We start from the raw sequence: 16,830 nt of genomic DNA, 5'->3' as shown, positions 1-16,830 counted from the left end.
CATGCGTATCTGCCCCCTGTGAGGCCCTGCACCAGGCACCAGTGATCACAAGATCCATAACACAGGCACCACTCCCAAAGGGCTCACCGTATATTGGAAAGATAAGCACATGCACTCTGATATATCTGATGAATGGACGATCAGTTTATCATGCACTGATGCCCTACTAAAGTTAAGTATGACATACAGCACAGACTATGAGGCAGGCTTCACCCTAGACGCATTTACAATCTATGAGAAAGGTGACATTTTAAACAGAATATTTTCATGGTGTGTTTATGCTTCAACGTAGGAATCCACAGCTATTTTCTGGATTTCCATCGGGGATCTAGACTGTAGCTTGCAGGACCAGGTATGAGAAGGTTGTATGTGCAAAACTCCTGGACATTCTGCTGAGGTGACTCTCACTGGTGGTATGGAAGCTGGCCAAGGGAAAGAGTGGAGAAAACGTCTTCCAGGCAACATTAAAAGCATTCAGTGAAGGCAGGTAATAAAAGATACATTTTGTGTTGGAGAATTGTTAGCAGTCAGTATTACCGGAGTTTAATTACGAATCAAAGGAGATTGCCTGGCTATTGGCAGGAGGTGAGTCTGGACAGATAGGTAGGTGGCAGCTTATTCAGGGTCCAATCTACTCTTAATGGGCTGGGGCATTATCCTGCAAGACAGAGGTTCTCATCCCTACCAGACATTTCCTTCTACTTAAATGTTTAATAATTCTCTTTTTACTGTCTTGAAATCTGCAGATCATATAACCTATCTATCTGTAACTTAAATTTAAGCATTTATATAATCTTTTTACTATAATATGAAGAAATATAACAGAAAAATTAATTTATAATAAAATGATGTCTATTTAAGGAGGTAAATGTTTGTATATAACCTCATTAAGGAATATGATAAAATGATAAGAAGTTTAAATTAAACATAGAATAATAAGTGTGACAACTTCAAATGCAGACTGACATGTGCCACGTTGATGACTCAGATGCATGGGAATATTACAGTGATGCAATTTTCTGAAATGATCAATAACATTTGCCACCTTTAGAATAAAGCACAATGCAAGGTAGATGCATTCCTGGAAAAATCAGTGTACATTAAAACTGTATGAGTGCTTTGGGTTGACGGGCAAAGTGTGTGGGGCCATCCCACACATCCCAGAACATCTGCATCCTTGGCCTCACTGCTCACGGCCATAGCCTTCTGCCCATCACTGTGACAGCCCCAGACCCACACATCCATTTCCACACATGCAGGTACTGCCTCTGTAAGAAATGTTGCTTTGGACAATGAGAATTAAGAGTGTTAGTCAAGAGACTACCATGACCAATTTGCATGTAGTCAGATACTTCCAGAGTGTTTGTGACTTGAGTTTGAGGAGCACAAGATGGGAGGCAAGAAGATCTGTTACTGAGCTACTGCAATCGTCCATGAGATATGCAAAGATGGAATGAGGACAGTTGTAGTGGGAAGGGAAAAGAGTGAAAGGCATTGGAGACTGTTGGTGAGCTGAAGTATTAAGGTGCAGTGATTGAGTTGGTGCAGGGGGAAGAAGGAGAGTTCTTTGGCATGAGTCCCAGATTTCTGCCCTGGGAGGTGGATGGGTCCCTGGTACAGGAAACTGAGAAACAAAACACCAGAAGAATAAATACAGAGGAAAGATGATGAGTCTGGTTTCAACTGACTTCTAGTGCAGGTGTCCATAAGTGTCTATATTTACATGTGTATGTATATACATGTTTATGTCACATATGTATTATACGGTATATATGTACACATATGAACACATATGTATTATATATGTATGTGTATATATTTATATGTGCATGTATATATTATATATAATACATGTGTACACATATGATATGTGTATATTTATATATGCATGTGTATATTACATATGTTTGTGTGTGTGTGTGTATATACATCTAAAATTTAGTGGAAAGATCAAGGTTGGAGAGAAAGGTTTAGCTAGCATAGGGTTGATAGCTAAAACTATGAAAGTATTTCCAGAAAAGAGTGTGCGACACTAGCTGAGAAGAAGAGCAAGACTGTGAAACTTTCAGGAAAAAGTGTTTAAGAAGAAGGAAAAGCAGGAGGAGCCCACAATGAAGAACAAAGAAGAGAAGAATTAACAAAGGAAGATGGGTTCATGGAGGAAGACACAATCAATAGTCTCGAATGCAGGAGGAAGCTTAGTATGTGTATACTACCATAACACACAACAATTTATACCCACCCTTCCCACATGGAAGTTAGGGGCAGCTTTACAAACAAAGTATCTTTTAAATACAACTGATCGGGCAGATGCAGAGGCTCATGCCACCCAGCACATTGGGAGGACAAGGCAGGAGGATCCCTTGAGTCCTGCAGTTTGAGATCAGCCTGGGCAACATGGCGAAACCCTACTTCTACAAAAAATATGAAAACAAGTCAGGTGTGGAGGTGCACACTTGCAGTCTCAGCTACTTTAGAGGCTGAGGTGGGAAGATTGTTTGAGCGTGGGGAGTTCGAGGCTGCAGTGAGCTATGATCGCGCCACTGCACTCCAGCCTAGGTAACAGAGTGAGACCCTGTCTAAAACAAACAAACAAACAAACAAACAAACAAAAACCCTGATCTTTTCAGAAGCATGTAAGGAAGCATTCTGAAGACAGTCTAATAAAGAAATCATGGTGTCCATATATCAGTTTTTCTGTATTCCCGAGTATTCATGCACACGCATAAACATGTCGTAAGATATGGGTATTTATATGAATGATTGTATGCATAAATGTTTGTATATAAAAAGGCATGTTTACAATCTTCATTCTAACCTTCACATTTCCTAAGGTACGGTTGTGTCGTAGCGCTTAACATTTAGGGTTTTGAAAGTTGAAGGGATTTGTATCTGTCTCACATCTTTTTATCAGCTTTAATCTTTACAGGACTGCCATTTTGTTTTTAACTCTTGCTCTTTCCAGGAATAAAATCTTACTGTGCTAAACATGAGTTATCCCAATCATTTGAATAACCAGACAAAGGAGTGAGGGCTCATGTTTCTTTCATATTTACACTTTTCATAAAATGTGCAGTTTGATACTTATGCAAACATGTGCTTAGTTTTAAGGACTCAGTGTCAGTTTAGAGAAATCTTCGCTAAGCTTTCCTGCAGTTGTAACCCTGGTAATGACAACTGTCACTATCCTCATTATAGAGAAGGCGATCTGGATGCCTGAGGACACTAAACCATTTACATGTTGCCTAGGACATTCAGTTCCTTGCCAGACCCCTTGATTGGGCTCCTAAGGTGTTGGATTGATCCTTGCATGAGTTGGATTCTGAGAGTGTTTTAGGTAGAAAGGACAAGATATTAAGATATCCACATCCAGATCACATAAAGGGCTAAATTGCTACAAGGTAGGTTTTCCTGCTATGGAGAAATGTCTCATTAACAGAAATCTGTTTGGAAATTCAGTGACAACTGTATTAGCAGGAAGACTCTCAGGTCTTTAGGTCAGTTCATTGCGATGAGAATCAAGCTAGCCTGAAGCCTGTGTCTTTTTTCCTTTAGTGAAAGAGATTCACCTTGTCACATTCAATAATTTGAAAAACACTGATGACAATGACATTCCTAGTGCCTTAGACACCCAGAGTGAATCATTTCCTGATACTTACTTCCTCCATATAGCAATCTGGCTACTAAATCATGCTGTTGATGAAAGATTTTGTTTTCTTTCTTCATTCTTTAGTTTTAAGATGAAAAAAAGAAGAATCATAAAACAACACTCACTTTCAATTTTAAAGTTAATATTCAAATCCAGTCACATGTTGTCTGCATGTTTTATGTTTGTACTAGAATTTGTACTTATCAAACAAAAATATCACATCTCACAATTAGTACTCTATTTCAGTGTATTAAAATTTAAACACAAAAATTTTCAAGTGGTCATACAGAATGACAACAATGAAGCAACACAAATGCAGTTTCTTAGTCTTTCCCATCACTACACTGTGTTCTTAAATACACTGTTGAAATGCAGCACTAGATGGTGAGGCAGCAGAGAGTCCATAAAACGCATCCACAGGAAGCTCGTACCATTCTGAGCTACTAAGAACTTAATCTCCTTTGGGAGGCCAAGGCAGGCGGATCACTTGACGTCAGGAGTTTGAGACCAGCCTGGCCAACATGGTGAAACATGTTTTCTCTACTAAAAACAAAAATTAGCCAGGTGTGGTGGTACGTGCCTGTAATCCCAGCTACTTGGGAGGCTGAGGCATGAGAATTGGTTGAGCCTGGGAGGCAGAGGTTGCAGTGAGTCAAGATCACACCACTGCATTCCAGCCTGGGTGACAGAGTGAGACTGTCTCAAAAAAATTAATAAGAATAATATAAATAAATAAATAAATAAGAACTTACTGTCATTCCTCCAGTGTCAGAAAATGATCATTTAACTGGAAAGTCCCTAAATTTAACTTCCAGGTAGACCATCATGTTTACTAAAGAAGAATAATAAAAATATGTTAATTTGTAGCTTATACATGAGTTTTTAAAATTCAGTAGTAATCACATTTAAAACTTAGATCATTTTTTTCTCCTAAGGGAGGTATAACTTATCACTGACCTTATTTAGAATTGCCATTTCATGATGTTAATAAAAAGCAGGCAGTCTGCTAATTGTTGGCTTTAAATTCTCTACAATCAGTGAATCTCCTTGCTTCTCCCCTCCAAAGCCTGCACTTGGATCAGATCTTGTCCCCCACCCCCACATTGGAGCGCAACCGATAATGAAATAGGTCTATCAGGTACCTTAACATCTGCTGCAACTACATCCAGAAGTCCAAGGTTTAAAAAAAATCTATATGAAGCAATTTGTAGTAGAGAACTATTATACAATTGTTATAGACTGAACGCCTATGTCCCTCCCAATATTCACAGGTTGAATCCCTTATTCCAAAACGTAATGGTATTTGGAGATGGAATCTTTGGGAAGTGACTAGAGTCAGATGACGCCATGATGGTCTGATGGGCAGGGACAGGAGAGAGCTTTCTCTCTCTCTCTCTTTCTCTCTCTCTCTCTCCCTCCCTCTTCAGGTGTGCAAAAACAAGAGGTCTGGAGAAAACACAGTGAAACGGCAGGCTCCTTTGAGCCAAGAAAAGAGGTCTCAGGATGAAACTACCTTCCTGGCACCCTGGTCTTGGACTTCCTAGACTCCAGAATTGTGAGAAAGAAATTGCTGCTGTTTAAGCTGCCCTGTCTATGGTATTTTGTTATGGCAGCCTGAGCAGACTAACACAATGATAGTCCCCTTGCAACATTTTAATTTCCAAATCTTCCCTAGTTTTGTGAGAGAACTTTTATATCAATGTTTAGTTTGAAGGAATTTTCTATAACTCGTTTACAAGTCCTTAATTAATAGAGCTTTTTTTTTTTCTCCCAACAGAAGCTGCAACTCAAACCTTAACTATAATGCTGTGAATGGTCTAGTATAATGGTGATCCATGACTTCTAACAACAGGGTGTTTAAAATAAGATTTAATGTGGCCTGAAAAGCTAGATTTAACCTTGTATTACAGGCAGTATTAAAAGGGTCTAAAGTAATGAAGCGTATAAAGGCTTATGGAGAATAATAGACACAATAAGGGAATTTGAAACTCGAGCCAGCTATGAGGAAATGATGCAGCTCCATCTTCCTCACTCCATCTTCCTCACTGGTGCTCCGCGTGCTAATGTCTAGCGTTTGCCAGAGGCCTTAATTATGGCAACATGCAGCTAAAGATACTCCCATACCACCTCATCCAACGGAAATGTGGGCATTTGGATAAGCGAGGTTAAAATGTCAGGAATTACTGTATTCAACAGTCACCAATGGCAGCGCCTCCGCGTTTGATGCGGGACGTTCCTGTGGGAGGGAGCGGCTGGATCACAGTTCGGTGTGCGGCTGGCTCTGCTCACATCCTCGTCCTTGGCATTACAGCGTTTCTTCACAAATGACTCTTGACCGACAAGCAAACACCACCAGGCATCTGGATGAGCGGCGTGTCCTGCTGCTGATTATTTTGAAATAGCAGCGATGTTTTGAAACAGGCATGTCTCCGTTGGCAGATAAGAAAGACGAAGTGAAGTGAGGCACCAGCACACCACAGTGCTCCGTCAAGCTCTTGTCTATTAAACAAACGGTATTAGATAGACACTAACTAACATGTTGACCTTGCTGAAATGTTCGTCTAGTTTCAAGCTATTTACTTTTCCTGCATGTTTGCTCTTCTTTTATTTTTCAAGTATTTAAGTATATGGAGAGCATTCTAAGCATGCACATATTTATCTGCTATGGTTGTCAGCACATTCTTCACCAGTCTTAGAGTTTTAGGTTAAATTTTCTGGTTTTGGAGGAAAATAAACAAGCAGACAGACAAGAAAAAAAAACACACAAGTAAATAAATAAAAACTGAGGAGGACTTTGGTGAGGAATGTTCTCTTCAAATTCAGAGTGGTTCCCTGGACCATGATACAGAGCTGGGCAGTCAGGTGACAGATGACACCAGGTTCCTCGCCCCCTACAAAATCAAAACAGTTGCAGACTCAGTCATAGAAATTAGAGATCTTCTCTCACTCTGAAGGCGATACTTGACCTTAAGAATTTCTTAGAATTTGTGTGTCTTACGCTGTAGGAAATTTCTCCCTGCTGTCCTAGCTGATTCCTCTTTGCTTCAAGTGTTCCTCCTGCTGTAATTCAATTGAAGCTAACACGTTTGAGGCCATGATGTTTAGCAGCTGTTCAGCCAGAAACATAAAGAGACATGAAAGGCAGGCAGAACGGTTATATTAAATGAATCTCAAAGTTAGAGAAAAAATATGGACTATATTTCTGTTTTACCAGCAGTAGAACTGATCAGGCGCTATGAAAATCAAGTTTGACATTTCTACATATTAGGATATTGCAGAGGAATTACTAGACAGTATTAGTGTGCAGCCATTTTACACAGACATCATCCTCAGCTTCCCACGTGTGCAACCCAGCATCAGTGGAGCTAAGCATGAGATAAAATTGTGTTACCAAGGCTGGCAGTTCCTTACTATATCTGGTTCAATTTTTTGTTATTACTAGGCTTTGCATTGATATTGTACTGAGGGCATATTATTGTGATATCTTGTGCAGGCAAAATAAGCCTTGTTTTATTAATGAAAGTTTGGGCTTAGAGATGTGGAAGGATTTAGTCAAGTGTTTACAGGACACAGATAGAGAATATTATCTCTATGTGGTTAAGGGCAGGAGCTCTGAAGTCAGGTTCTGTCTTAACCCCATGATTTCCGACATACAAGACCATGGGCAAATTGTGCGACATTCTGTGCTTCAGTCCTCATTTGTCAAATACAAGCCATTGAGAAGATTAAATGAGGTGATATACACACAGAATTGAGCACAGTGCCTCAGACTTGGCAGTCTTTTGGTTGGTTGTAACTAATATCATGTTCACCCCCAAGATAAAATGGGGCACTTTAAGAACTAAGAATAATTAACATTTGGTGATAGGGTTTGGCTGTGTCCCCTCCCAAATCTCATAGTGAACTGTAGTTCCCATAATCCCAATGTGTCATGAGACCCGGTGGGGGGTAATTGAATCATGGGGATGGTTACCTCCATGCTCTTCTCGTGATAGTAAGTTCTCATGAGATCTGATGGTTTCATAAGGGGCTCCCCCACTACCCTTTGCTTCTGACTACCACCATCGCTATGTGAAGAAGGACATGTTTGCTTCCCCCTCTGCCATGATTGTAAGTTTCCTGAGGCCTCCTTAGCCATGCTGAACTGAGTCAATCCAACCTGTTTTCTTTATAAATTACCCAGTCTTGGGCATGCATTTATTAGCAACATGGGAACGAAGTAATACATTGGGAAACCTCTGCTTTGGGACAGTAAATTTAATGTGAATGGCTCTATCATTGGATGTGGAGCCATTTTGAGTTTGACTTAATACAAAAATAATTTCAGCTTTAAGGAAGTACCAAGCACTGTGAGAAACACATTCTGCCACACCCGATTTCTGTTTCCGATTCCCCTGGGTCTAGATCACCTTAGGGTTAGTTAGGATTAGAGATGGAGGGTGAGAAATGACAGCTGTGCATATTGTTTGGTATTTGAAAAATGATTTCATATTTTGATCTTTTCTTAATGGCTGCATCATCATGGCAATGTCAAGCTGTTCTTGTTTCATGTCATGAAATAAGTTTCCAAGTCATACCAAAGGGAAATATCTCATATTGGCTTCAGTTATCTCAGCTCCTACCTGCACTAGTGACGGTGAACTGCCCAAAGGGGCCGATATGCATTCAGCAGGAAAGATTTGGTCCAGGTCCTCCAAAGTGCAATTCCTATTATCTGCAATTAGAAAAGAATTTGCAATATGAAAAAATCAGTCACAAAAGTAATGAATATCCTTGTTGGCAAATAATACTTCCTTAAAACATGCATACTTCTCCCTGTCTAAATTCTTAGTGTTTTTCTCTAGAACTGCCTTCTCCCCTAATTTGCCTGTTGAAATCCTCCCCTTTCTTTCTTCTAGACATATCCCAAATTCTACTGATACATGAATCAAGAGAAGCTTCTCAAGTTATAGATCTCAGAGTAAATATATATACCATCCTATCCCAATCCATCTTGCTCTAAATACTGGTATGTCTACTTGGAAAAAAAAAAGATTTTGTGGTCAAATTAGTTTTGGAAACATTGCATTGAACTTTGTTATTTTTCCTCCAGGCTTGGAACCCTCCTCACTTTTTCCTTTCATTAAATAGAACTTAACTTGGTTTTCTATACCCAGGACAGTTTAGGTTTTCCTTTCTTTTTTCTTTAGGGCACAAGAAGAATCAACAGTTTGTGGGAGACAGATTGCGTTTTCAGTGAGGTGACTGCAGGGTGGGCTGGATGGAACTTCAGCTTCAGTTTGGGTATTTGAGAGGCCCTTGCATCATCCAGAGAAGAGCTAACAAGAACGTGTGATAGAGCAGTGCCAGCAGACGAGATATAGGGAACAATTAGAGTGCGGTATTGGAGAGCTGGGATATCCTTGGATTGATGACTGAGTGGATCAATCCAATTGAGTTTAAAGTTTCAAGAGTAGTTGTGTGGGAGGAAGTTGGGTGCCATTTCTTGAACAAGGGAACACTAGAGGTTGACTTAGGAGTAGCCAGAGTAATAGCAGTTTTGGCATGCTGAATTTTAGGTGTAAAATAAATACATAAATTAAGATATTTAGGGGGAAACTGGAAATACAGGGCAGAGTTTAGAAGAGACCTCTAATTTGGGAAAATAGGGTTGGACATTTGTTCATAAAAATAATAATTAAGGCCGGGCACAGTGGCTCACGCCTGTAATCCCAGCACTATGGGGGGCTGAGGGGCGGGGAGCACCTGAGGTCAGGAGCTCAAGACCAGCCTGGCCAACTTGGTGAAACCCCGTCTCTACTAAAAATACAAAAATTAGCCAGGTGTGGTGGTGCATGCCTGTCAAACCAGCTACTCGAGAGGCTGAGGCAGGAGAATTGCTTGAACCCTGGAGGCAGAGTCTGCAGTGAGACGAGATTCCTGCCACTACACTCCAGCATGGGCAACAGAGCGAGACTCCATCTCAATAGATAAATAAATAAATAAATAAAATAAATAAGTAAATAATAATTTTAAAAGATTACTGGCTCTGACCCTCGTGCTTTGATTAAAGGAAAGTGCACAATTCCCCTTTAACATCTTTTTACTTGTTTGTGGTTGTCTATATAAGTTTGTCTTTTGAAATTTGCATAATTTAAAGAACTTTTTGGTTTAATTACACTTCTACTGTAGAAGTTCTTCCGTTTATAAAAATAGTCATTTTCCTCCCTGGTTTTTTTTTTCCCACCCAGCTTTTTCTGAGGCTGTCAAAAGCACAAGCTGCCATGGTAATGACAGGAAGATATGGGTGAAATGCCAGCCCTAATTAGAGACTTGATTGCTCTGTAATAACAAGGCCTGTATTTGATTTGGACGGTTCTGGGTTGTCAGGTAAAATGAATTAAATATGTCTGCACTTTCATTTCAAAATGTGAAAAATGTGAATGTGCATTATTTATATTGTATTTCATGGCTATAATTAATTATGTGTCTGTGGACATGATGTCCCAAAGACAGTTGATTTTATGTTCAATCTGTATGTGCATTTGTAAAACTAATTTGTTCTCATTAAAATTTTTAAGGGTTTATTCGAGTTAAACTCAGGAGGCCTTTCTGGGTATACAACTCACAAAATACAAAGCAAAAGTCGAATTTACATTTTTTTTGCTAGTAAACTATTCAATGCCTGAAGCATTGTACTAGATATTATTGTAGTGAATATGGTGGGCTATAAAAATAAAGAGAAGACATACTTCCTTTTCAGATAGTGCTTTTAAACTTGTTTGGAAGACTTCGGTATAAAACAAATGAACATAATGCAACCTGAGCTTCTATTACTTAGTAAAAGAACATTGTGTTTTGTCAAAGAAATATTAAGTCTGTATGATGAGTTGAACAGTTTTTCTTGTGAATATCCTATAGAAATGTGGAAGATATTTTGCTTTCTAAAACACTGTTCGGAATTTCTTCCAGTTGTAATTTTTAATATTTGCTAAATGTATCAACCATTAATATTAAAATTTTCAAATATATTCTCTCAAGTAGTATAAAGCTTTTTTTCTTATCAGTGACAGCAGTACTTTCAAGCAGACCCACAAATGAACTTCAATACTGAAAATAATTTGTGTATCTCAAGTTCACTAACATTAATTCTCTTCATTGTAGTTGGATATCGTTGCAGTTATTAAAGCAATATTTACCAAAAAATTATTTTTCATCATTTTAGTTTTTTCTATGGGAGTAAATCCCTAGGTGTTCCTAGTCAGGCTATAATTAATTAGTAGTTCAATGTGAATGTTGGGTAGTTCACAGACATATTAGAGCTAATTTCAATATTAAAAAATAATATTAGCATGAATCAATGAATTTACAGAGAATATTTATGTCTGAAATAAAGAGATTGGCTTCCATAGGCTCTGCGTATTCCACTTCTTTGTTAATATTCTTTTGTTAATTTTCAACATGATAATAATCGTAAGGACCAGCTGATTCCTTGTTTTATTTTATCCAATTTCAGAGATGACTACCCTCAACAAGATGAAGCAATTATTTGTCTCTTTATTTCTTGTTTTCAGAGACCATTAAGCTTATTTTGTCCTTATTGGAAAACAAAGCAATTTTCTATTCAACGTATTTCTGATTCTCAACAACTCATTTTCATTAGAAAGTAAAGTTAGAATGTCCATGGAGTGCCGGTGTATAGAGAGGGGAAGTAGATCAATGGTGGAACACTTAGGAGCACCCCTGGCAAAGGAACAAGAACTTTTACATAACCTGCAAAGGAGACCAAAGAAGTAGATGCTGGGTAGGAGGAGATCAGAAACCAAGAAAAAACATTTCAGACAAACATCGCTATCAAATGAAGGAAAGAGCCATTGAAAAGTAGAAACCTGGATTGAATTTCATAGTAAGACATCAGTGCTAACTCTCGTCAGAGTTATCAGAGTGGTGTGATAATGTGATAAAGGTGAATGATCACAATGAAGTCAAAAACAGGGATGGAGACATCAAGGATAGTCTAATCTTTCATGAGAATTGAACTGCATTTATTGGCATGTAGTAGGTAGTAGAGAAGTGGAAATTATTAGACTTATTATTGTCAGTAGCATGCGGTTCTAGGTACAGCTGGTATTAGATGCCTTACTCTGGGTTTTCTTTTATGTCACTTAGAGACACACTATGATATTAAGAATAATTTTAAAAATCTGTTCTTGCCATCAAGTTTAAGAAAAAGAAAAAAAAGGGAAAATATCTGGACTCCATGTCTCTTTCTCTGAGGTTAATTTCAGGCATGTGAAGATTCTGGAATTTAACAAAATAGCTTTACTTACAAGCTGTTGATCTTTTCTTACTCTGTCATGTCATCAGGATTTACTCAACTATATAAAAATTTTCTACATTTTAAACTTCAGTCTACATCCATGTAATCAATTAAATAACTTCTATTTACAAAACAATTAGAATACTATATCTTAGAGTGGACATCAGTATATAAATGACTGCAAAATAAATATTATAATATCTATAAATGATAAAGATATAAGATAAAATTATTATTTGATCAATCTAATCCATAGCTTTCAAAATGTAAATTATGCATTCTTACAATGTATAATTGTCATTTTTAACAGACTTAGGTTTCATTCTAATTTTTAACTATATTATTTTTCAAACTTGTTAACTGACTGAAAAGTTGAAAGTTTGTGACAAAGGAATTTGCAAGTTAAAACCAAAGGGTAGAATTTCATTTTATTTTATTTTTGTATGTGGTTTATTATTTTTGACATCATAAAACAGCCTACTATAAAAACAGTACATCTATTTTTCTTCTAACAAGAAACATTTTTTGTGGGTGATGAAAGTAAAGTGTTTTGACAATGCTAGATTTTTATTTTTGAAGCAATCATAACTCAAGATGAAAGTGCTTTAGCGCTAAGTCCTCCTCTGCTGTGACCGCCATGTGACTGGCCCACTTGGGCAGATTGCACTGGCTGCCTGTCAACTTCCTGTTAACTCTGCTCTCGCTCCTATGCCTTCCAAGGAATCCCATTCCAAAACTTGAATGAGCAATGAAAATTGAGATGCAGATTTAAGGAGAGGTTTTGCATCACACACTGCAGTGTGTTGGAGTCAACTCATCCTGGTTTGCAAGAGTCAGTTGCGCACATCCGTTCCCTATTCTGTGTTCAGAAATGGCAAGATTGGTAGCTCGAAATCAGCCATAGTGGGAATGTTTACACCTTGGAAGCTGGCCATATTACAAACCAGGACTTGCACCTTGTGGAACACAGACTAACCAGCCTACCACTACCACACACTGCAGTCCCCCAGTATACATGGCTGCCCTCTCCATTCTCATCCCTGTTTGCCAGCTACTTAATTTAACGTTCCCCACAAGCATTTTCATACCCCACCAAACTATATGTCATAATCACCTTCCCTCACAATGCCTATTTACCCACAATTACTGTCTGTAATAGATTTTATTTGTTTAGAGCACTTTTAGGTTTAGAACAAAATTCAGCAATAAGTACAGGGAGTTACCATGTACCTAACGTCTCCACATACAGACAGCCTCCCCCATGAGCAACATCTTCCGCCAGAGGGTATGACCATCAACACTAATGAACCTGCACTGACACGGAATAATATCGTTTGGATTTGTGTCCACACCTAAATCTAATGTCAAATTATAATTCTCAATGTTGGAGGTGGGGCCTGGTGCAGGTGATTGGATCATGGGGGCGGTTTCTCCTGAATGGTTTAGCACTACCCACCTTGGTACTGTCCTCATGACAGTGAGTTCATTCTCAAAAGATCTGATTGTTTAAAAGTGTGTCACCTACCCCCTCCCTCTCTCTTCCTGCTCTGGCCATGTAAGATGACTATTCCTTCTTTGCATTCTGCCATGATTGGAAGTTTCCTGAGGCCTCCTCAGAAGCCAAGTGGAATGCCAGCATCATGCTTCCTGTACAGCCTATTGAACTGTGAGCCAATTAAACCTCTTTCCTTTATAAATTACCCAGTATCAGGTATTTCTTTATAGCAATGTGAGAACAGACTAATACACATCACTATTACCCAAAGCCCACAGTTTACATTTCGATTCATGCTGGGTGTTATACATTCTATGGGTTTGAACATATATGTAATGACATGTATTCCCTATAATAGTATCATACAGAGTAAGTTTCACTAAAAACTACTAAAAGTCCCCTGTTTTCCACCTGTTCATCTCTCCCTTCCCTCTAACCCCTGAGAACCACTGGTCTTTCTACTGTCTCCATAGTTTTGACGTTTTCTGCATGCCATGTAGTTGAAACCACAGAGTATGTAGCATTTTCAGATTGACTTCTTTCATTTAGTAATACAAATTTAAGGTTCCTCTGTGTTTCTTCATGTTTTGAAAGATCATTTTGTTTTAGTACTGAATAATATTCTATTGGCTGAATATACCACACTTTATCCACTTGCCTACTGAAGGACATTCTTGTTGCTTCCAAGTTTGAGAATTATGAATCAGCCTTCTGTAAACATCCATGTGCATGCTTTTGTATGGACATAGTTTTAACCTCCTTTGGGTAAATACCAAGAAGTGTGATTACTGGATCTTGTGATAAGCCTATGTTTAGTTTCATGAGAAATAGCCAAACTGTCTTTCAAAGTGGTGGTGCCATTTTGCATTCTCTCCGAAAATGAATGGGAGTTCCTATTGCTCCACATCCTCACCAGCATTCAGTGTTCTGAATTTTGGCCATTTTAATAGGTATGTTATGGTGTCTCATTGTCACCTCAGTTTGCATTTCCTTGATGACACATGAAGAAATGCAAATTAAGGCCTCTTCTCATTTATTTCTTTGCCATCTGTATATCTTATTTAGTGAGATGTCTGTTCAGGCAGTTGGCACAGTTTTTAACTGGGCTTTTGTTTTCTTGTTGTTGGGTTTAAGAGTTCTTTGTAATTTTTGGATACTAGTCCTTGATCAAATAGTACACATTGAAAGTAATGGCAAAAACTGCAATTACTCTTACAACAAACTAATACATTGTTTGCAAATATTTTCTCCCAGTCTGTAGGTTGTCTTTTCATTCTCTTGACAGTGTCTCTACCAGGGTGGAATTTTTTAATTTTAATTAAGTCCAGTCATTAACTATTTCTTTCATAGATCATTTCTTTGCTGCTATATCTAAAACTCCTCACAACAAAACTTTATACCTTACTATACATATGCATACTGTTTTCAGCAAACCCAAAATTTCTTCTATAGAAGCAATCTCTAGTGAAAAAGGATTTTAAATAAAAGTCATCATCTTTCTCCAGAATTTAGGCAAATCCTCCTGAAACCATATTTACTTTACTACTAGTGCTTGAGTTTCATAAAACTAAAGGCCCAATATTTCCCCGTCTCTATCTCTCATGCATGTGCACACACACATACACACCCCCACACACTTTTTTTTAATGGATTCATGGATGTGATTCACTTTTTAACTCCTCCAGCTCCTCTTTAAACTCTTAGATGCATGACAGCTGGTGAAAATGCAGGGCTGGAGGTTACACACACACACACACACACACACACACACACACACACACAGACATGCACACATACAAACATGTTTGGTAGAAACGTGAAACACTAGAAACACTGGTGAGACAGGCAAAATCTCCACCCTGGTCTTCTCGTCAAGTATTATGCACCTTCCAGACAGGGCCACCATCTAGTCTCTGACCCCACACCCTGGGAGGAAGAGCATCATCTGGAGCCTATCCTTTCAGCACGTCCTTATTGGTTTCCTGAACTTCATTTGGGAGGCAAAAGTGACTAGATGCCTTTTCTTCCTACCAGTGGATAAATGGATGGATATTTCCAAAGCACAAGGCCTTAGCCAGTGTTTGCTGTGTACACTTGCCATAGGAGCAAATTGGTATGCATGATCTCACTTAGACCCAGAGATGGAAAACCCATGTGGAGGATGATGGATTTCCTTGATCTGTACTGATCCTTTGACCTTGAGATTATTCCATGAGAGAGAGTGAGAGAGGGAGAAAGGGGGAAAGAGAGGGAGAACTGGAGAGAGAAAGGGGGGGAAGAGAGATTGATTTACATTTCTATTTTTTAAGCCATGGTATTTTTGAGTCTCTCTTTGTGGCTGTTTTGGTTTTATCCTAACTAAAGGCACCTTGTACATATGATATTTCTACAGGTTCAGCTATACATCGAAGTGTAATTACTGTAACTAAGCATATGTTTACTTAAAATTTTGAAAAAATGGTCCCCTATAGATGGTGCACAAAATACTGATGTGTAACAGAGGGCTGAAGAGTTTTGACACCCCAGCTTTCACATGTTTAGGGGTAGTGTAGGCCAAAAGCTAATTTATGATGTTTTGTTAACTTAAAACTTAATATATGAAAAGCCCCAATGTCTTCCCTTTATAAAAATTAGACTAACATATAACAGAAATTGTCAATTCCCAATTTTATGTTTAATCAATTTTAAACATCTTGTAGGCATGTACAATCAGGTCTTACCATTACATAGTGGTATGTACACAGTGTTTCTTAAATTTGACTGTACATACGGATTGCCAGAATAACTTTTACAATTTAGGTGCCAAAGTGGGTCCTGGATATCTTTTAAAGTATTATATGACATTTTGATGTACAAACAGATTTGAAAGCGCCTGATAGAAGGAAATAGGTGTGAGTTTAATGTCAGAAGACCTTAATCATATACAAAAATGTCATTTTAACAACCATGTTTGACAATTTGAAGACAGGAACACTCCTCTGGACATTGGTTTCTACACGTCAGATGAGGGTAATATTAAGGATGCTTAATTTATACCTTTATTATGATATTAAATGAGGCAGTTTATGTGGAAGTACTTTAGAGTCTGTAAATGTTTTTCAATGATGTATAGCATTGCTATAGCACTTTTATGCCTAGAGCTGCAAAAACGAGGAATAATTTGTTAAACAAACAAATTTCATTTTCTCTAGAGTTAACAAAATGAAGAAAATAATTCCCATGAAAAGATTGATTTTCTGTCTATTTTTTATATGACTTCCGTAGATGTGATCCTATTTGTATTTTCATTTTTTCCGTATTACTTTGTTGATCTCTTACAGTCAAGCTCATTTATTTTGTTTCTGTTTTATTCTGTCCTATTTTCTTTTTCACTGTGATTTCTGTCTC

At 38.1% G+C, this 16,830-nt stretch overlaps 2 annotated features.

Annotated features, from left to right (window-relative positions):
* Positions 3,243-4,442: an enhancer, noted in NCBI's record as "P300/CBP strongly-dependent group 1 enhancer chr18:71384186-71385385 (GRCh37/hg19 assembly coordinates)". NCBI's record gives its function as "activates an origin of replication core promoter dependent on BRD2, BRD4, P300/CBP, MED14 and CDK7 cofactors, with strong dependence on P300/CBP, by STARR-seq in HCT116 cells {active_cell/tissue: HCT116}" and the evidence as "EXISTENCE:reporter gene assay evidence [ECO:0000049][PMID:35650434]".
* Positions 5,352-6,551: an enhancer, noted in NCBI's record as "CDK7 strongly-dependent group 2 enhancer chr18:71382077-71383276 (GRCh37/hg19 assembly coordinates)". NCBI's record gives its function as "activates an origin of replication core promoter dependent on BRD2, BRD4, P300/CBP, MED14 and CDK7 cofactors, with strong dependence on CDK7, by STARR-seq in HCT116 cells {active_cell/tissue: HCT116}" and the evidence as "EXISTENCE:reporter gene assay evidence [ECO:0000049][PMID:35650434]".

This window comes from Homo sapiens, chromosome 18 (genome assembly GCF_000001405.40).
Source record: "Homo sapiens chromosome 18, GRCh38.p14 Primary Assembly".
In the NCBI taxonomy this organism is placed as follows: domain Eukaryota; kingdom Metazoa; phylum Chordata; class Mammalia; order Primates; family Hominidae; genus Homo; species Homo sapiens.
This window is presented reverse-complemented; position numbering and strand designations above follow the sequence as displayed.